Source organism: Homo sapiens, chromosome 3 (genome assembly GCF_000001405.40).
Source record: "Homo sapiens chromosome 3, GRCh38.p14 Primary Assembly".
In the NCBI taxonomy this organism is placed as follows: Eukaryota; Metazoa; Chordata; class Mammalia; order Primates; family Hominidae; genus Homo; species Homo sapiens.
In genome coordinates this window covers 156906890-156922598 of record NC_000003.12, presented here as the reverse complement: position 1 = coordinate 156922598, position 15709 = coordinate 156906890, and the positions used below count along the sequence as shown (strand labels likewise).

The 15709-nt window shown below is 35.0% G+C and overlaps 1 protein-coding gene across 2 annotated transcripts in view; it reads right to left on the bottom strand.

Moving 5' to 3' along the window:
• Nucleotides 1–15709, bottom strand: part of LEKR1 (leucine, glutamate and lysine rich 1) — a 219777-nt gene that overhangs the window by 123531 nt on the left and 80537 nt on the right. For both annotated transcript variants that reach the window (NM_001004316.3, NM_001193283.2), the window contains exon 4: nt 1905–2024. In NM_001004316.3, coding sequence (NP_001004316.2) covers nt 1905–2024 — 120 coding nt within the window. The remainder of the gene's footprint in view (nt 1–1904; nt 2025–15709) is intronic.

Sequence of the window (15709 nt, the reverse complement as noted above, 5' to 3'; positions counted from 1 at the left end):
GCTGGAGGCTAGTGATTAAGCCCAATTGTAATTAAACAAAAGAGAGAAGAAATTAAAAACAGCAATGGACCCCAAAACATAGTTCACTGATCTACTGAAAGTTCCTTTTAGGCTCCATAAATAAAGATGATTATATCTGAGTAAAAAGCTCATGTTTCTTTCCCTTAACTCTTTTTTTTTTTTCATCCCACATTTTGGCCTACGAATCCTTTACCTCTTCAAGACAGAAGATTATAAGCTCTTTTTCTTTATTAAGAGCAACTAAGTTTTATGGCCTGATATTTTAAAAATAATCAATAATCTAGCTTAAAATCAGCTTTTAGTAATGCAACAAAAGTCACTGAACTCTAGAAATTTGGTTTGATTTTATTTTTAACAGTATACCTTTTTCTATGGAATGCATTATATCTACCAGTGAAAGTATAAAAACAATAATTATTTCTATTCATCTATTACAAACTGTAATTTGTACTAAGTGTCTAGTTGACTAGTTACTTCCAAAATTGTTTTTAGTATGTACTATTTTTATGTAAGTCAGATCCCAGACTCCTAATTTGTGATCTTTCAGCTAAAAATGAGCAAAAATCACAGATCTATGGAAACATGTGAACAAAATAAGCTGTTAAAAGTATAACTCAAAATGATGACAAAATTAGAATACAGAATAAAAATAACACCTCCATTTGTATGTCTATGTTTCTTCAAAAATTTGAAATACTGAAGATAACATGCAAAAATGAAAATAATTAGGATCAAGTGTATCAGTCCCATAATATCCTGAAGCGGCAATAATTATTTGGTCTAGTCCCAGTCCAGCCTTTAAAGGTAAATCTTACCATCCATGAAGGCTTTGGTGGATAAATCAGATGAGCCTTCTGCGGCAGATATGGGCCAAAGCTATTACAGAAGCCAAAAATGAATACTGATAGTCCTGATTAAAATACAAAAGTTGGGGTCACCTGGATGGCATTATCCTTTTGGTTCAACACCAGATTTCTAGGAAAGGATCAAGGGGATTTCTGATGATAAAAATGGTCACTTGTTTTGTGAGTGGATTTCATTCATGGATTCATTCAAAAATTATGTATTGAGCATCAGTTATGTGCAAAGCATTTGTAAAAGGTAGATGTTCAATAGGTTATTATCAGAAAATGAATTAAAAATTATTAGCCCACAGAAATTTATTCAGAATATTCCTGGTAATAATTCTTAGATAAAAAGCAAAAACTTATTCAAAACACTCACCCAGCATACTTTTTTAGTCATCCAGAACCTGTGTCATTTGCCATGTTGAATTAACTTATTGCCTTCCCTTTTCTAAGAGCTAAAAGTTATTCAATTCAAAAAGGAACTATTCTTTCTCATAAACATTCTCAATATACTCAATTCAAATTTTAGGAAAGAAAATGTACTTCTTAGTTTCTTTAGAACGCTGGATTTTATCTTTAGGTATTATAAACCCTCCAAAGATTATATAAAAGCAGAATTAACATGCTTTACACTAGATATTTCTGAATTTAAGGAGTATGTTAATATTATTTAGGAAGTTTTCTTATTCTATTACTTTTCTTGTCACTGGACTATCACTCAGAGGATCAAATACACCAAGAAATATTGGTGAAGAGGGAAATTAGTTACCGTGCTTTCATTCTAAATGCCACCACAAAATAAGAACAGTAACAAGGCACTAATAGAACAAGGTATATGCCTAATTTAAATTTAATTAGCAACACTATTCATTGAGATAATGGTTTAAAAAAGAAAAAAGAAAACCTAATGCTGTTTCACTTTTCTCAATCACACCAGATATAGAAACCATATTACTAAAATGTGTTTGGCTATTTACAAAGTTAGTATTAAGCATATCTTTTCAATCTTTATAATTTTCAGTTCTTTAATCTTACCTGAAGATGTATGATTGTCTATATTTAATTTTTAGCTCATCTTGCAAATGACTCAGTTGTTTCTTTACTTTCTGAAATTCATTTTGTTGACTTTTTAACTGCATGCCTACATCGTAAATTCTAAAAATATAAACAAACATTCCTTAAGTATTCTCTCATATGTACAATTTTCAAGTTAACATTTAAATATACTTACTTTTAATAAAAAGGAGTAGAAGAAGAAACTATGTCTCTTATATATGCTATATGAATGTACAGAAAAAATATGGAGAGACCAAATCTTGGGCACCAAATCCTGGGGAGGAGAGTGGAATTTATGGGCAGGGGGAAAAAGTAAAGAATATTGAAGAGAGGCAGAACTTTTTATCTATATTCTGTTGTATTGTTCAACTGTTTACAATGAACATAAATATTAATCACAACTAAAAATATTAATTTAATTTCATTTAAAGTAATACATGTTCAAATTTAAAATGTCAAATATTACTGCCTTAGTCCATTTTGTGTTGCTGTAAAAGAATACCTGAGGCTAGGTAATTTATAAAGAAAGAAAGGTTTACTTTGTTCATGATTCTGGTGACTGGAAAATTCAAGATTGGATAGCTGCATCAAGCGAGGGCCTCATGTTGCTTCCACTTATGGCAGAAAGTGGAAAGGGGCATGTGCAAAGGGATCACGTGATGAGAGAGGAAGCAAGAGAGAAAAAAAATCAAGGAAGCCAAACTCTTTTTTTGTGTGTGGCTTTCGGTAAGAAGTCATTTGGAAGAACATGAGTTAACTTTTGGTATAATGAATGAATGAAAACTTAGGATCAAAATTAAAACTGTAAGTATATAAACATGAAAAGTAAAATTTACATGAGGAAAAAGATGTCTGACATTTTATCCACATGGTAACACTAACTCACAACGTCCAAAGAATAACATGGTAACATTATAAACTTGATCTAATACATCATGGCAATGGGATGTTTAGCTTAATTAATTAAAAAGACAATAAGATTTGTTAGCATGTAGTTGCTATAAACAGTTATTAATCTATTTCTAATATAAATGTACAGAAATATTGGTTGCCAAGAAAACACATTTTTTATCACATATAATCAAACAATTGAAAATGAACTGAGGCATTACATTCAGCTGTGAATAACAGGAAATACTAGAAATTTCCTGATAAAAAGAAGGTGCTTCTTCACACATGAAAGTCTTGGGTGAGACCAGTCACTGCACAATTCAGCAGAGGAATAAGCTCCCACCTAGTTGGTTTTTAATGGCAGCATAGTAGCTGTCCACCTGAACCAAGAACAGAGTCACTATCAAGGAGGAACAACAATGCTCGTAATACAAAGTAGACCTTAAACCAATTCAATCTATAGATTAGGGGAGTTGAGCATCAGAGAATATTTCCAGCCATGACAATGTGAATTAGTTCTCTCGTAAACACTTCATAATTGCTGGGGGGAAAAGCAATGAAAGGATGTATCTTTAATGTGGAGCATCTGGGGACATCTCTGGAGAGCTACAACTCTGAGAAAAGGAAAGTCAAGTGATTTGGAGGGTACTCTCGATTTGCAAGCCAAAGAACAAGGACAATGGGCTGAAAGCCGGTGGCCATGCACCTCTCTCTCGTATTTTAACAACCTGCTATCTTGGGAACTAATCCATTCTTGCCAGAGCAAAAACTCCATTCACTCACAAGGGAGGGGATTAATCTATTCATGAGGAATCTGCCCCTATGACCCAAACACCTCCGATGAGGCCGTACCTCGCAACAATGCTGCCTTGAGGCTCAAATTTCATCATGAGTTTTGGTGAAGACAAACCACATCCAAACTGTAACAATGACTAAAAGGGTTATTAAAAAAATAGTAACCATGTGCTTCTACCCCAATTCCCACTGCCAAAGGCAACTACTTTTAATGTTTTTTTCCTGTTTCTCCTAGTATTTACCTCCATATTACTAACATGTTTACACTGATATTTCCTAATATTTAATTTTATATATTATTTAGTGATACATATCAGTTAAGATCTAGTTATGCTACATATAATTGCCACCTGAATATGATGGCATAAATATATATATAATCTCACATAAAACAAATGCATTGGTAATCAGTTCAGTGCTAATATCATATAGGGCCTCATATCCTTCCAACTCTCTGGTCTATCATCTTTGGTATCTGTACTTTATTCTCATAGTCCATGATGGTGGTGAAAGCTTCAATCATTACATTCCCATTCCAGGCCAGGAACAGGAGAATAACAGCCTACTCCATCCGTTTTAAGCCAATTTCCTTAAAGTACCACTGAATACTTCTACTGAACTTAGATACATGGCCATACTTAGCTGCACATGCAGATGGAAGGTGTCGTCCTTTAAAGATTAGCCCCCAGATATATTCTGTTACTTAGAAGGCAAAATGGATGTTGGGGTAGGTAGCTAATAAGAATTGACCCTCCTATACATATCTACATACTTTTCTCTTAATCCTCCCAATATAGTTAAATCAGCACTTTTTATTAAATTATATTTAGTATTCACATTGTTATTCACTTGTGAGCAACATATAATGCCATGATTATATTTCTTTCTTGTATAACTTTTTGTTGTCTCTGGAATTAAAAATTGTCTCCTTTTCTTCTTTCGTAGTTTTCTGGGTACCATCATTTACTCTTCTTCCATCTTTGACAGAGAGGTAATTCTTCTCCTGACACCTTCAGACACAGCAGATAATCTTTCCAAATCATTTCTTTACCAGGAGGTAGCCTTCCTGGAGCTTTCTATTCCCCTGCTATAGTCTGGTTTATGCTCTGGTTTGACTACACAGCTGTCATCATAAGACTTCCCTTCTCCATCACTTCAGGAACTGTCCTCATCTCTCTTTCATGTCAATTCTCCTATACCCTGGTTCCAAAGTTTTATTCCTTCTTGGTTTACTCCTAGGAGCAAATCATCCAGAAATGTCCTGTGCATTGGCAGTAAATTTGAGACTCTGGATGTCTGAACATGTTATTTTATCTCAGATGGAACAGTTTGGCTGAATAGAAAATCACATATTTTAAAAATATTCAGCAGAAGATTAGGACACCATTCCATTGTTTCCTAATTTCCAGTGATGCTGCTGAGAAATCCAATGACATTCCCATTTCTATTTCTTTGTGTGATATATGGTGGGCCCCCCACCCTTCCCCCTGCTTCAGAAGCTTTTTCTGAAAGAAAATTTTTTACTTTTCACTTGGGTTTCTTCAATTTGATCACAATGTATCATCATGTTAATCTTTTGTCATTCTCTGTGCTGGGCACTTGGTGAGTACTTGCTTTAGAAACTGATTTCTTTAGTTTTCAGAAATTTACCCTAGGGAGAATGATGCTTTCCTGTCAATTTTCTGTTTCTGTCTGGAACATCTTTCTATTATTTTAGTTGTGGAATTTCCTGAACAGATCTCTTAGCTTTCTTATCCTTTCTCTACCATTTTACCACTTTTAACTTTCTGTTCTTTCATTATCTTCCATCCTATTAAAGTTTTAACTTCTGCTATCACATTCTAACTACCAAAATTTCTTTCTTATTCTCCAAAAGGCCTTTTTTAATTGCCCCTTTTCTTGTCCCATGAATACAATTTGTATTTCTTTGAGGATATCAATTCTAGTGTGTTTTTGAAGTTTTCTTCAGTTTGCTGCATTGCTTCTGTTTCTCTTTGAGACTCTTTCTTTGTTTTACTTTTTGACTTTCATGTTTGAGGCTCTGCTCAGAAGGCTGATTATCCTTTATTGTCTGTTCATAATCAAGAATGAAGTACTCTCACAACCAACATCATGCTGAATAGGCAAAGGCTGGAAGCATTCCTCTTGAAAACAAGAACAAGACAAGGATGCCCTCTCTCATTACTCTTATTCAACATATTATTGAAAGTTCTGACCAGAGTAATCAGGCAAGAGAAAGAAATGAAGTACATCCAAATAGGAAGAGAGGAAGTCAAACTATCCCTGTTTGCAGATGACATGATTCTATATCTGGAAAACTCCATAGTCTCAGCCCAAAAGCTCCTTCAGCTGATAAACAGCTTTGGCAAAGTTTCAGGATACAAAATCAACATACAAAAATCACTACTATTCCTATACACCAACAACAGCCAAGCCAAGAGCCAAATCAGGAATGCAATCTCATTCATAATGACCACAAAACAAACTGAATAGGAAAACAGTTAACCAGGGAGGTAAAAAATCTCTACAATGAGAATTATAAAACACTGGTCAAAGAAAGCAGAGCTGACATGAACAAATGGAAAAACATCACATGCTCATGGATAGGAAGAATCAGTATCATTAAAATGTCCATACCACCCAAAGCAATTTAGAGATTCAATACTATTCCTGTCTAACAATGATATTCTTCACAGAACTAGAAAAAAACTATTTTAAAATACATATGGAACAAAAAAAAAGAGCCCAAATAGACAAAGCAATTCTAAGCAAAAGGAACAAAGCCAAAAGCATCACACTATCCAACTTCAAACTATGCTACGGGGCTACAGTAAGCAAAACAGCATAGTACTGGCACAAAAACAGAGACATAGATCAATGAAACAGAAGAGAGAGCTCGGAAATAAGAACACACACCTAAACCATCTGATCTTTGACAAAGCTGACAAAAACAAGCAATGGGGAAAAGACTCCCTATTCAATAAATGGTGCTAGGGTAACTGGCTAGCCATATGCAGAAGATTGAAACTAAACCCCTTCCATACACCGTATACAAAAATTAACTCAAGATGGATTAAAGACTTAAATGTAAAACCCAAAACTATAAAAAACCTGGAAGACAACCTAGGCAATACCATTCTGGACATAGGAATAGGTAAAGATTTCTTGACAATGACATCAAAAGCAATCACAACAATAGCCAAAATTGACAAATTTGATCTAAGTAAACTTAAAAGCTTCTGCACACCAAAAGAAACTATCGACAGAGTAAACAGACAACCTACAGAATGGAAGACAAAATTTACAAACTACGCATCTAAAACAGGCCCGATATGCAGCATGTATAAGGAACTCAAATTTACAAGAAAAAAAACAAACAAACAACCCCGTTAAAAAGTGGGCAAAAGACATGAACAGACACTTCTCAAAAGAAGACATACATGTGGCCAATGAGCATATGAAAAAAAACTCAATATAATTGATCATTAGAGAAATGCAAATCAAAACACCGATGAGATATCATCTCACACCAGTCAGAATGGCTATCACTAAAAAGTCAAAAAAAAAATAACAGATGCTGGCAAGGTTATGTAGAAAAGGAAATGCTTATACACTCTTGGTGGGAGTGTAAATTAGTTCAACCATATTGTAAAGCAGTGTAGCAATTCCTCAAAGACCTAAAAACAGAACTACCATTCAACCCAGCAATTCCATTACTGAGTATAAACGCAAAGGAATATAAATTATTCTACCATAAAGACATTTGCATGCGTATGTTCACTGCAGCACTATTCACAATATCAAAGACACAAAATCAACCTAAATGCCCATTAACGACAGATTGGATACAGCCATAAAAAAAGAATGAGATCATGTCCTTTGCAGGAACATGGATGGGGTTGGAGGCCATTATCCTTAGCAAGCTAACACAGCAATAGGAAAGCAAATACCACATGTTCTCACTTATAAGTGGGAGCCAAATGATGAGGATGGATGGACACAAAGAGGGGAACAATAGACACTGGGGCCTACTTGAGAGTGGAGGGTGGAAGGGGGAAAAGATAAGAAAAAATATCTATTGGATACTAGGCCTAGTACTTGGGTGACGAAGTAATCTGTACAACAAACCCCCATACACAAGTTTACCTATATAACAAACCTGTACATGTACCCCAAACCTAAAATAAAAGCGTAATTTTAAAAAATGAGGTACTAGAAGCACAACTGGACTGGTTTCTACAACAAGCTAATTAAGACAAAGGGAAAAAAGGAAGAGAGGCCTTCATAGATAAAAGAGAAGCAAGAAATTTAATAACTAAATATGACATATGGACCTTGCATGAAACTCAATTAAAACAAATTGACAGCGGCTTTGCAGCACTGTTCACAATGCAAAGACTTGGAACCAACCCAAATGCCCATCAATGATAAACTGGATAAAGAAAATGTGGCACATATACACCATGGAATACTATGCAGCCATAAAAAAGGTTGAGTTCATGTCCTTTGCAGGGACATGGATGAAGCTGGAAACCATCAATCTCAGCAAACTAACACAGGAACAGAAAACCAAACACCTCATGTTCTCACTCATAAGTGGGAGATGAATAATGAGAATACATGGACACGGGGAGGGGAACATCACACACCAGGGCCTGTTGAGGGTGGGGAAACTAGAGGAGGGATAGCATTAGGAGAAATACCTAACGTAGATAATGGGTTGATGGGTGCAGCAAACCACCATGGCATGTGTATACTTATGTAACAAACCTGCACGTTCTGCACATGTATCACAGAACTTAAAATATTTTTTTAAATGACAGTAAAAAATTTTTTTAAAGAATTGAGAAAATTTAATTATGGACTGGGAATTAGAGAATACCAAGGAACTGTTGCTAATTTTGGAATGATAATATTGTGATTATGTTTTTAAAAAGTCACATCACAGTGAAGTAAGTAAAGATAAAATAGCACATAGACTAGGAGACTATGATTTGCCTTAAAATACTTCAGTAAAGAAAAGAAATGATAAAATAATAAAATCTTGATAATTTTAAAATCTGTGTAAATGAGTATTTATTTTATCATTTTCTCCTAAAAAAATTAAAAACAAAGGACTGAAATGCTGCCTATAAGCTTCTGTGTGTGTGCAGAAATTGTTAAATGACAAGATTTATTCTGGGATGATCAGGTGAGCAAATAGTTATTTTGATAAAATCTCTGGATATTTCCTCTTTACCAGACATTCTCCCAATCTCTTGACAAAGTTCTGGGAATTAAGGGAAAGCACTTGTGCCATTTCAGGGGATATGATGCCATTATTCCAAAAGTCAACTTTTACTTAATTTCTTTATTTTCATTTCACCACCTCCCTTTTACCACTCTCTATCCTTAGCTACAGCTAGTACCACTGAGATCAGAGATACAACATCCAGAATTCTTTCAGGGAAAGTTAATTATATGTTTTGAGCAGGTCAGGTGGGAAAGAACATCTAGAAGCCTAAATACACCTTTAAAAAATTAAAAATCAGTAGCATTTCTATACAGTAATAATATTCTAGTGGAGAGCCAAATTAGCAACACAATCCCATTTACAATAGCCACAGAAAAAGGAAATACCTAGGAATACATCTAATCAAGGAGGTGAAAGATCTCTGCAAGAACTACAACACACTGCTGAAAGAAATCAGACATGACACAAATAAATGAAAAAATATTCCATGCTCATGGATTGAAAAAATCAATATCGTTAAAATAGCCATACTGCAAAAAGAAACTTATAGATTCAGTGCTATCCCTATCAAACTATCAATGTCATTTTTCACAGAAATAGAAAAAAGCTATTCTATTTTATTTTCCAAGACGGCAAACTAGAAGCAGTGTTAGAATGCCTCTTCCACTTGCAAAGTCAAAATAGTGAGTAGAGATTCACACTGTTAACTTTTTTCCAAGAAGCAATGCAGGACCTTAATAGGAAAATGGAAGGAAATCACAGGCCCTTTGAAAGAAGCAGCAGGCTGCAGCCTACACTATGAGCCAGGTAAAAAACTATAAGTCCTCAGAGTGTGAGGTAGGGGAGTCTGCCTCCAGGATATAAACTCATACCAGGGAACCTGTGTAGCCTTAACCCTACACAGCACTGGAACTGATATAGTGAGTGGTGGGACATATAAAAGTAAGAGCAGCACAATGAAGAGCCTTGCGCACATTCCCAGTCTCTAGTATGGACCAAGGGAAGCCACGCCTGATTCTATATAAAAAGGGAACCTCATGAAAGTCTGCCAATTAATTCAAACAGTGGTGGCAGGTTGAAAGAAGCTACCAACTGAAATTCACAATACAATCCTCGAGTGGGGATGAACTCCCTTGGCCAGAACCCAGGCGTGAGTGGGAAGTGTGCAGTAGCCACAGGCACAGGAACTGGGTGCCTGGACTTTGACAGCAGATAGGCAGGGCCTGGGACAGTTTTGAGTTCTGAGCATAGGCTGTCTGGAATTTAACTAGCTACTGTAAGTGAATACTGCAAGTGAGAAACCTGCCTTGCCCAGTGCATAGGAGCTGGGTGAGACATACTGCCACCTGCTACCCCCCACTCCTTATGCGAACTCTACTGTGCAGCAGAGGCAGCTACACTCCTTCCTGGAATATTATCCCAGTGGCTAGAAAACCACTGGAGACTCAGAAGGAGGAGGCTGGGAGAGGGGCACAGGATAAAACACTACATATTGGGTACAATGTACACTACTCAGGTGATAGGTACACTAAAATCTCAAAATTCATTATTATACAATTTATTTATGTAACCCAAAGCCACTTGTATCTCAAAAGCTATTGAAATAAAAAAATTTTTTTGAAAGAAATTACAATGATTATACTCTAGGCTCCAGAGAAAATAGAGTATAAATTGGTACATTTCAGGAAAGCAATTTAACAAAATATATCAATGTATCAAAAAATGAAAAAGAAAAAAAATCCTAAAATTTACATGGAATAAAAAAAGAGCCCTAATAGCCCAAGCAATACTAGCAAAAAGAACAAAGCCAAAGGCATCACATTATCTGACTTCAAACTATACCATAAGGCTACAGTAACTAAAACAGCATAGTACTGGTATGAAAACAGACACATAGACCAATGGAACAGAATAGAGAACCCAGAAAAAAAGCCTCACACCTACAATCATCTGATCTTTGACAAAGTCGACAAAAAAAAGCAATTGGGAAAGAACCCCCTACTTAACAAATAGTGCTGAGATAACTGGCTAGCCATATACAGAAGAAAGAAACTGGACCCCTACCTCTCACCATATACAAAAATTAACTCAAGATGGATTAAAGATTTAAATGTAAGACCTCAAACTATAAAAATCCTAGAAAAAAAACCTAGGAAATAGCCTTCTCAACATCAGTTTTTCCAAAGAATTTACAGCTAACTCTTCAAAGCAACTGAAAGAAAAACAAAAATTGATAAAGGGACCTAACTAAACTAAAGAGCTTCTGCACAGCAAAAGAAACTATCAACAGAGTAAACAGACAGCATAGAGAATGGGAGAAAACATTCACAAACTATGCATCCAACAAGTCTAATATCCAGAATCTATAAGGAATTTAAACAATTCAACAAGAAAAATACAAATAACCGCATTAGAAAGTGGACAAAGGACATAAAAAATATTTCTCAAAGAAAATTTTTTGAGAAAAAATATTTCTCAAAGAAAATTTTTTGAGAAAAAATATTTCTCAAAGAAAATTTTTTGAGAAAAAATATTTCTCAAAGAAAATTTTTTGAGAAAAAAATATTTCTCAAAGAAAATTTTTTGAGAAAAAATATTTCTCAAAAGAAGACATACAAAAGAAGACATACAAGCAGCCAACAAACATATGAAAAAATGTTTAACATCTCTAGTCGTTAGAGGAATGTAAATCAAAACCACAATAAGATACCATCTCACAGCAGTCAGAATGGCTATTATTAAAAAGTCAAAAAATAACATGCTGGCCGGGCTGCAGAGGAAAGGGAATGCTTATACATTGTTGGTGGGAATGTAAATTAGTTCAGCCACTGTGGAAAGCAGTTTGGAGATTTCTCAAAGAACTTAAAACAGAACTAGAATTCAACCCAGCAACCACATTAGTGGGTATATACCCAAAGGAAAATAAATTGTTTTACTAAAAAGACATGTTCATCACAGCACTAATTCACAATAGCAAAGACACGGAATCAACCTAGGTGTTCATCAGTGATGGACCGGATAAAGAAATGTGGTACACATACACTATGGAATATATGGAATACTATGTAGCCATAAGAAAGAATGAAGTCATGTCCTTTGCAGCAACATGGATGCAGCTGGAGTCCATTATCATTTTCCCTCCCAACTTTTATTTTAGATGCAAGGCATATATGTGCAGGTTTGTCACCTAGACATATGGGTGATGCTGAGGTTTTGGGTACAAATGATCCCGTTACTCAGGTGCTGACCACAGTACCCAACAGTTAGTTTTTCAGCCCAACCCCTAGTAATCCCTCCATGATTCAATTATCTCCCACAGTGTCTATTGTTATGGAAACCATTATCCTAAGCAAATTAATACAGGAACTGAAAATCAAATACCACATGTTCTCACTTACAAGTGAGAGCTAAAGACTAAATATGCATGGGACAATAGCCACTGGAGACTGCTAGAGAAAGGAGGGAAGGAGAGCAGTATGGGCTGACAAACTATTAGTTACTATGCTCACTACCTGGGTGACAGAATTATTCATACCTCAAAGCCTAGCATCGCGCAATACACCCATGTAACAAGCCTGCACACGTACCCCCTGAATCTAAAATAGTAATAACAATAAAACCTCTGCCTAATTGGGAAAAGAATAGATTTTTAAGGAATCCTCTTTTTTCATCCCCACTTAATACCTTGGCAAGGACTTCTCTTATTTCTCTTAGCATACTAAGAGAAAGGAGTTAACCAAACATTGTTTTTAGGATTCACATCTTTAAAAACTTGACAAAGGAAGGTAGAAAATAAAGAGCTATAAAAGTATAGTCCAGAAAAATGCTTTTTAAAATGATAACATATATATGTTAGTGTTAAAAATTAGCAAAAGCATTAAGTGGAACAAAGAAATTTTCATCTTTATAAAAAGCCCAATGCACCAAGAAAAATAACATAGCACCAAAATATATTTTTAAAAATCTGTTAAAAAATCCAATGAAAACAAATTACTAATCATAATGGGATGTATTAATACTTTTCTCACAGAAATGGAAAGGATCACAATAACATAAAAATAGGTAAAGATATTGAAGATTTCTTTTTTTTTTTTTTTTTGAGACAGACTCTCACTCTGTCGCCTCTCCCAGGCTGGAGTGCAGTGGCGTGATCTCGGCTCACTGTAACCTCTGCCTCCCGGGTTCAAACGATTCTCCTGCCTCAGCCTCCTGAGTAGCTGGGACTACAGGCGCATGCCACCACACCCAGCTAAATTTTTGTATTTTTAGTAGAGATGGGGTTTCACCGTGTTAGCCAGGATGATCTCCATCTCCTGACCTCGTGATCAGCCCTCCTTGGCCTCCCAAAGTACTGGGATTGCAGGCATGACCCACCAGCAATGAAAATTTAAACATACATCTAATAATCCTTGGGCCAAATAGAAAATAAAAATGGAAATTACAAGCTATTTAGAAATAAAGGATAATGGAAGCACTACATATAAAAGTACTGTATTAGTCCATTTTCACTCTGCTGATAAAGACATACTCAAGACTGGGTAATTTACAAAAGAAAGAGGTTTAATTGACTCACAGATCCACATGGCTGTGGAGGCCTCACAATCATAGTGGAAGATGAAGGCAGAGCAAAGGGATATCTTACATGGTGGCCGGCAACGAGAGAATGAGAACCATGTGAAAGGGGTTTTCCCCTTATAAAACCATCAGCTCTCATGAGACTTATTCACTACCACAAGAACAGTATGGGGGAAACTGCCCCCATGATTCATGATTCAATTATCTCCCACTGTGTCCCTTCCACAACATGTGGGAATTATGGGAGCTACAATTCAAGATGAGATTTGGGAGGGGACACACAGCCAAACCATATCAAGTACCAAGATGTAAATGCATGGCCTTAAATTCATTTATTAAAGAACAAATAATGAATATTCTTAGTGTTATGACCCAAGAGAAGGGTACAAATGACAAAAAAAATGAAAGCTCAGAAGCAAAGTAACAATGAACATACCCAATCCCCAGATGCTGGTTTCTAAATATCATTCTCCAATTAAAGAAATCAGGGCATTTTAGAAAACTGGTTGATTCCAGTGCTGAGGCAAGAAAACTTCAAGATAAGCCTAGAACATTTTGTGATGCCAGAAAGTAAAGAAGAGCTCAACAGAGGACAGAGGCAGGTTAAAAGGGCACATGTTGACCTAAGCGAGCTACTAATGTCCAAAACAAGAAGAATCAAGCAATAAAATAATGATAGTATTGGATTATAACCCAAAAAATTAAAGTGAATGAGTCCACACTGATATAAATAACTGAATGAACAATTGAGTAATAAAAGACAGCTCTTTTATTACACAGAAAATTTCCAATTAATACATGTAGAAGGAACGAGTGAATGAGAAAATCACCATTAAAACTGTACAATAATAGCCACTGCAGGCAAACTCTACTGATAGTACTGAAAAAACAGGTAAAAGGTTGAGAAGAAACTGAATATTCGGAGAGTCTCAAAATATCTACCACAAGATATTTATTAATTACGAAGGGAAAAATAATAACTATACAGTGAAGGAACCTAGCAAATACCAGTTTAGCCACGTGATTAAGGTTAACTTCACCAGTAATAAGATACTGACATCATGACACACACCCTGATATGATGCACTGAGAAGGGCACATCATTTTTGTGGTATTCTTGCCAAAAATGAATAATCTCATCACAATAATTAGTAAACATCAGACAAACCCAAATTGAGGGATATTCTACAAAATAAATGACCAGTATTTAAAAGCCTCGAGACCATGAAAGACAAAGAAAGACTGAGGAACTGTCACAGGTCAAAGAAGTCTAATAAGAAGATATGAACTCTAACTGCAATGTGGAATTCCAGGTTGAATACTGGACTGGAAAAAAAAAGATATTATTGAAAAAATATGATAAAACCAAAATAAATTCTGTAGATTAGTTAACAGTATTATAACAATGTTAATTCCTTAGTTTTTATAATTGTACCCTAGTTATGCAAAGTGCTAACATTGTGGGAAGTTGTGTATCTGAAAACTATCTGTACTATTTTTGGAACTTTATATAAATCTAAACTTATTTTTTGAAAAGAATGACTTGGGCACGTACAATGAGTAATCTATAAGTGTCAAATATATCTCTGGTACAAATTGTGGTATAAAAGAATGGGTACGTTTTAAATTTTGGAAGTTATGAAATATTATTTTAATAGCAAAAAAGGAAACAGTCTTCATGGTCAGTATATGCCAATAATGGTCAGTATTAGAGGAACAGTTAAATAACCTATGGTCCTATGGAATAGTATACAAAAAATAAAAATATAATAAAGTAGACTTGTATGTCCTAGCATGGAAAGAATGCCAAGATTTATCAATGGGGAAAAATGCAAGCTGTAATTCACAGATGAACAAATATGACATGAAACCATATATATTCACGATAGTTCTATATGTACATATATGTCTTTAAAACTTTAGAAAAAGAATAGAAATGATCTTCATCAATGTTAAAGCAGGGTGATCTCTACAGAGAGAATCAGGATTGAGAAGACTGGTCATGGGAACTTTAGTTTTCTTTCCTACATTATTTAGATTATTTACAATGAAGATGTATCTATGTGTTACTTAAAAATCTAAAAAAATTGTTTTAAAAAGCCCAGACAGTCTCATTACATGTCTGTAAAAATATCTCAGGTTTATAAATGGAAAAAATGTAGAAATAGTAGATATTTAAGTTTATATAGTACACTGCTAAATTATAAGATTAAACATATGTATTAAACATTCCTTAATAGAAGCCCATTCCAGCTATTAACATTCACTCAGAAAAGAATTCTCAGTCCAT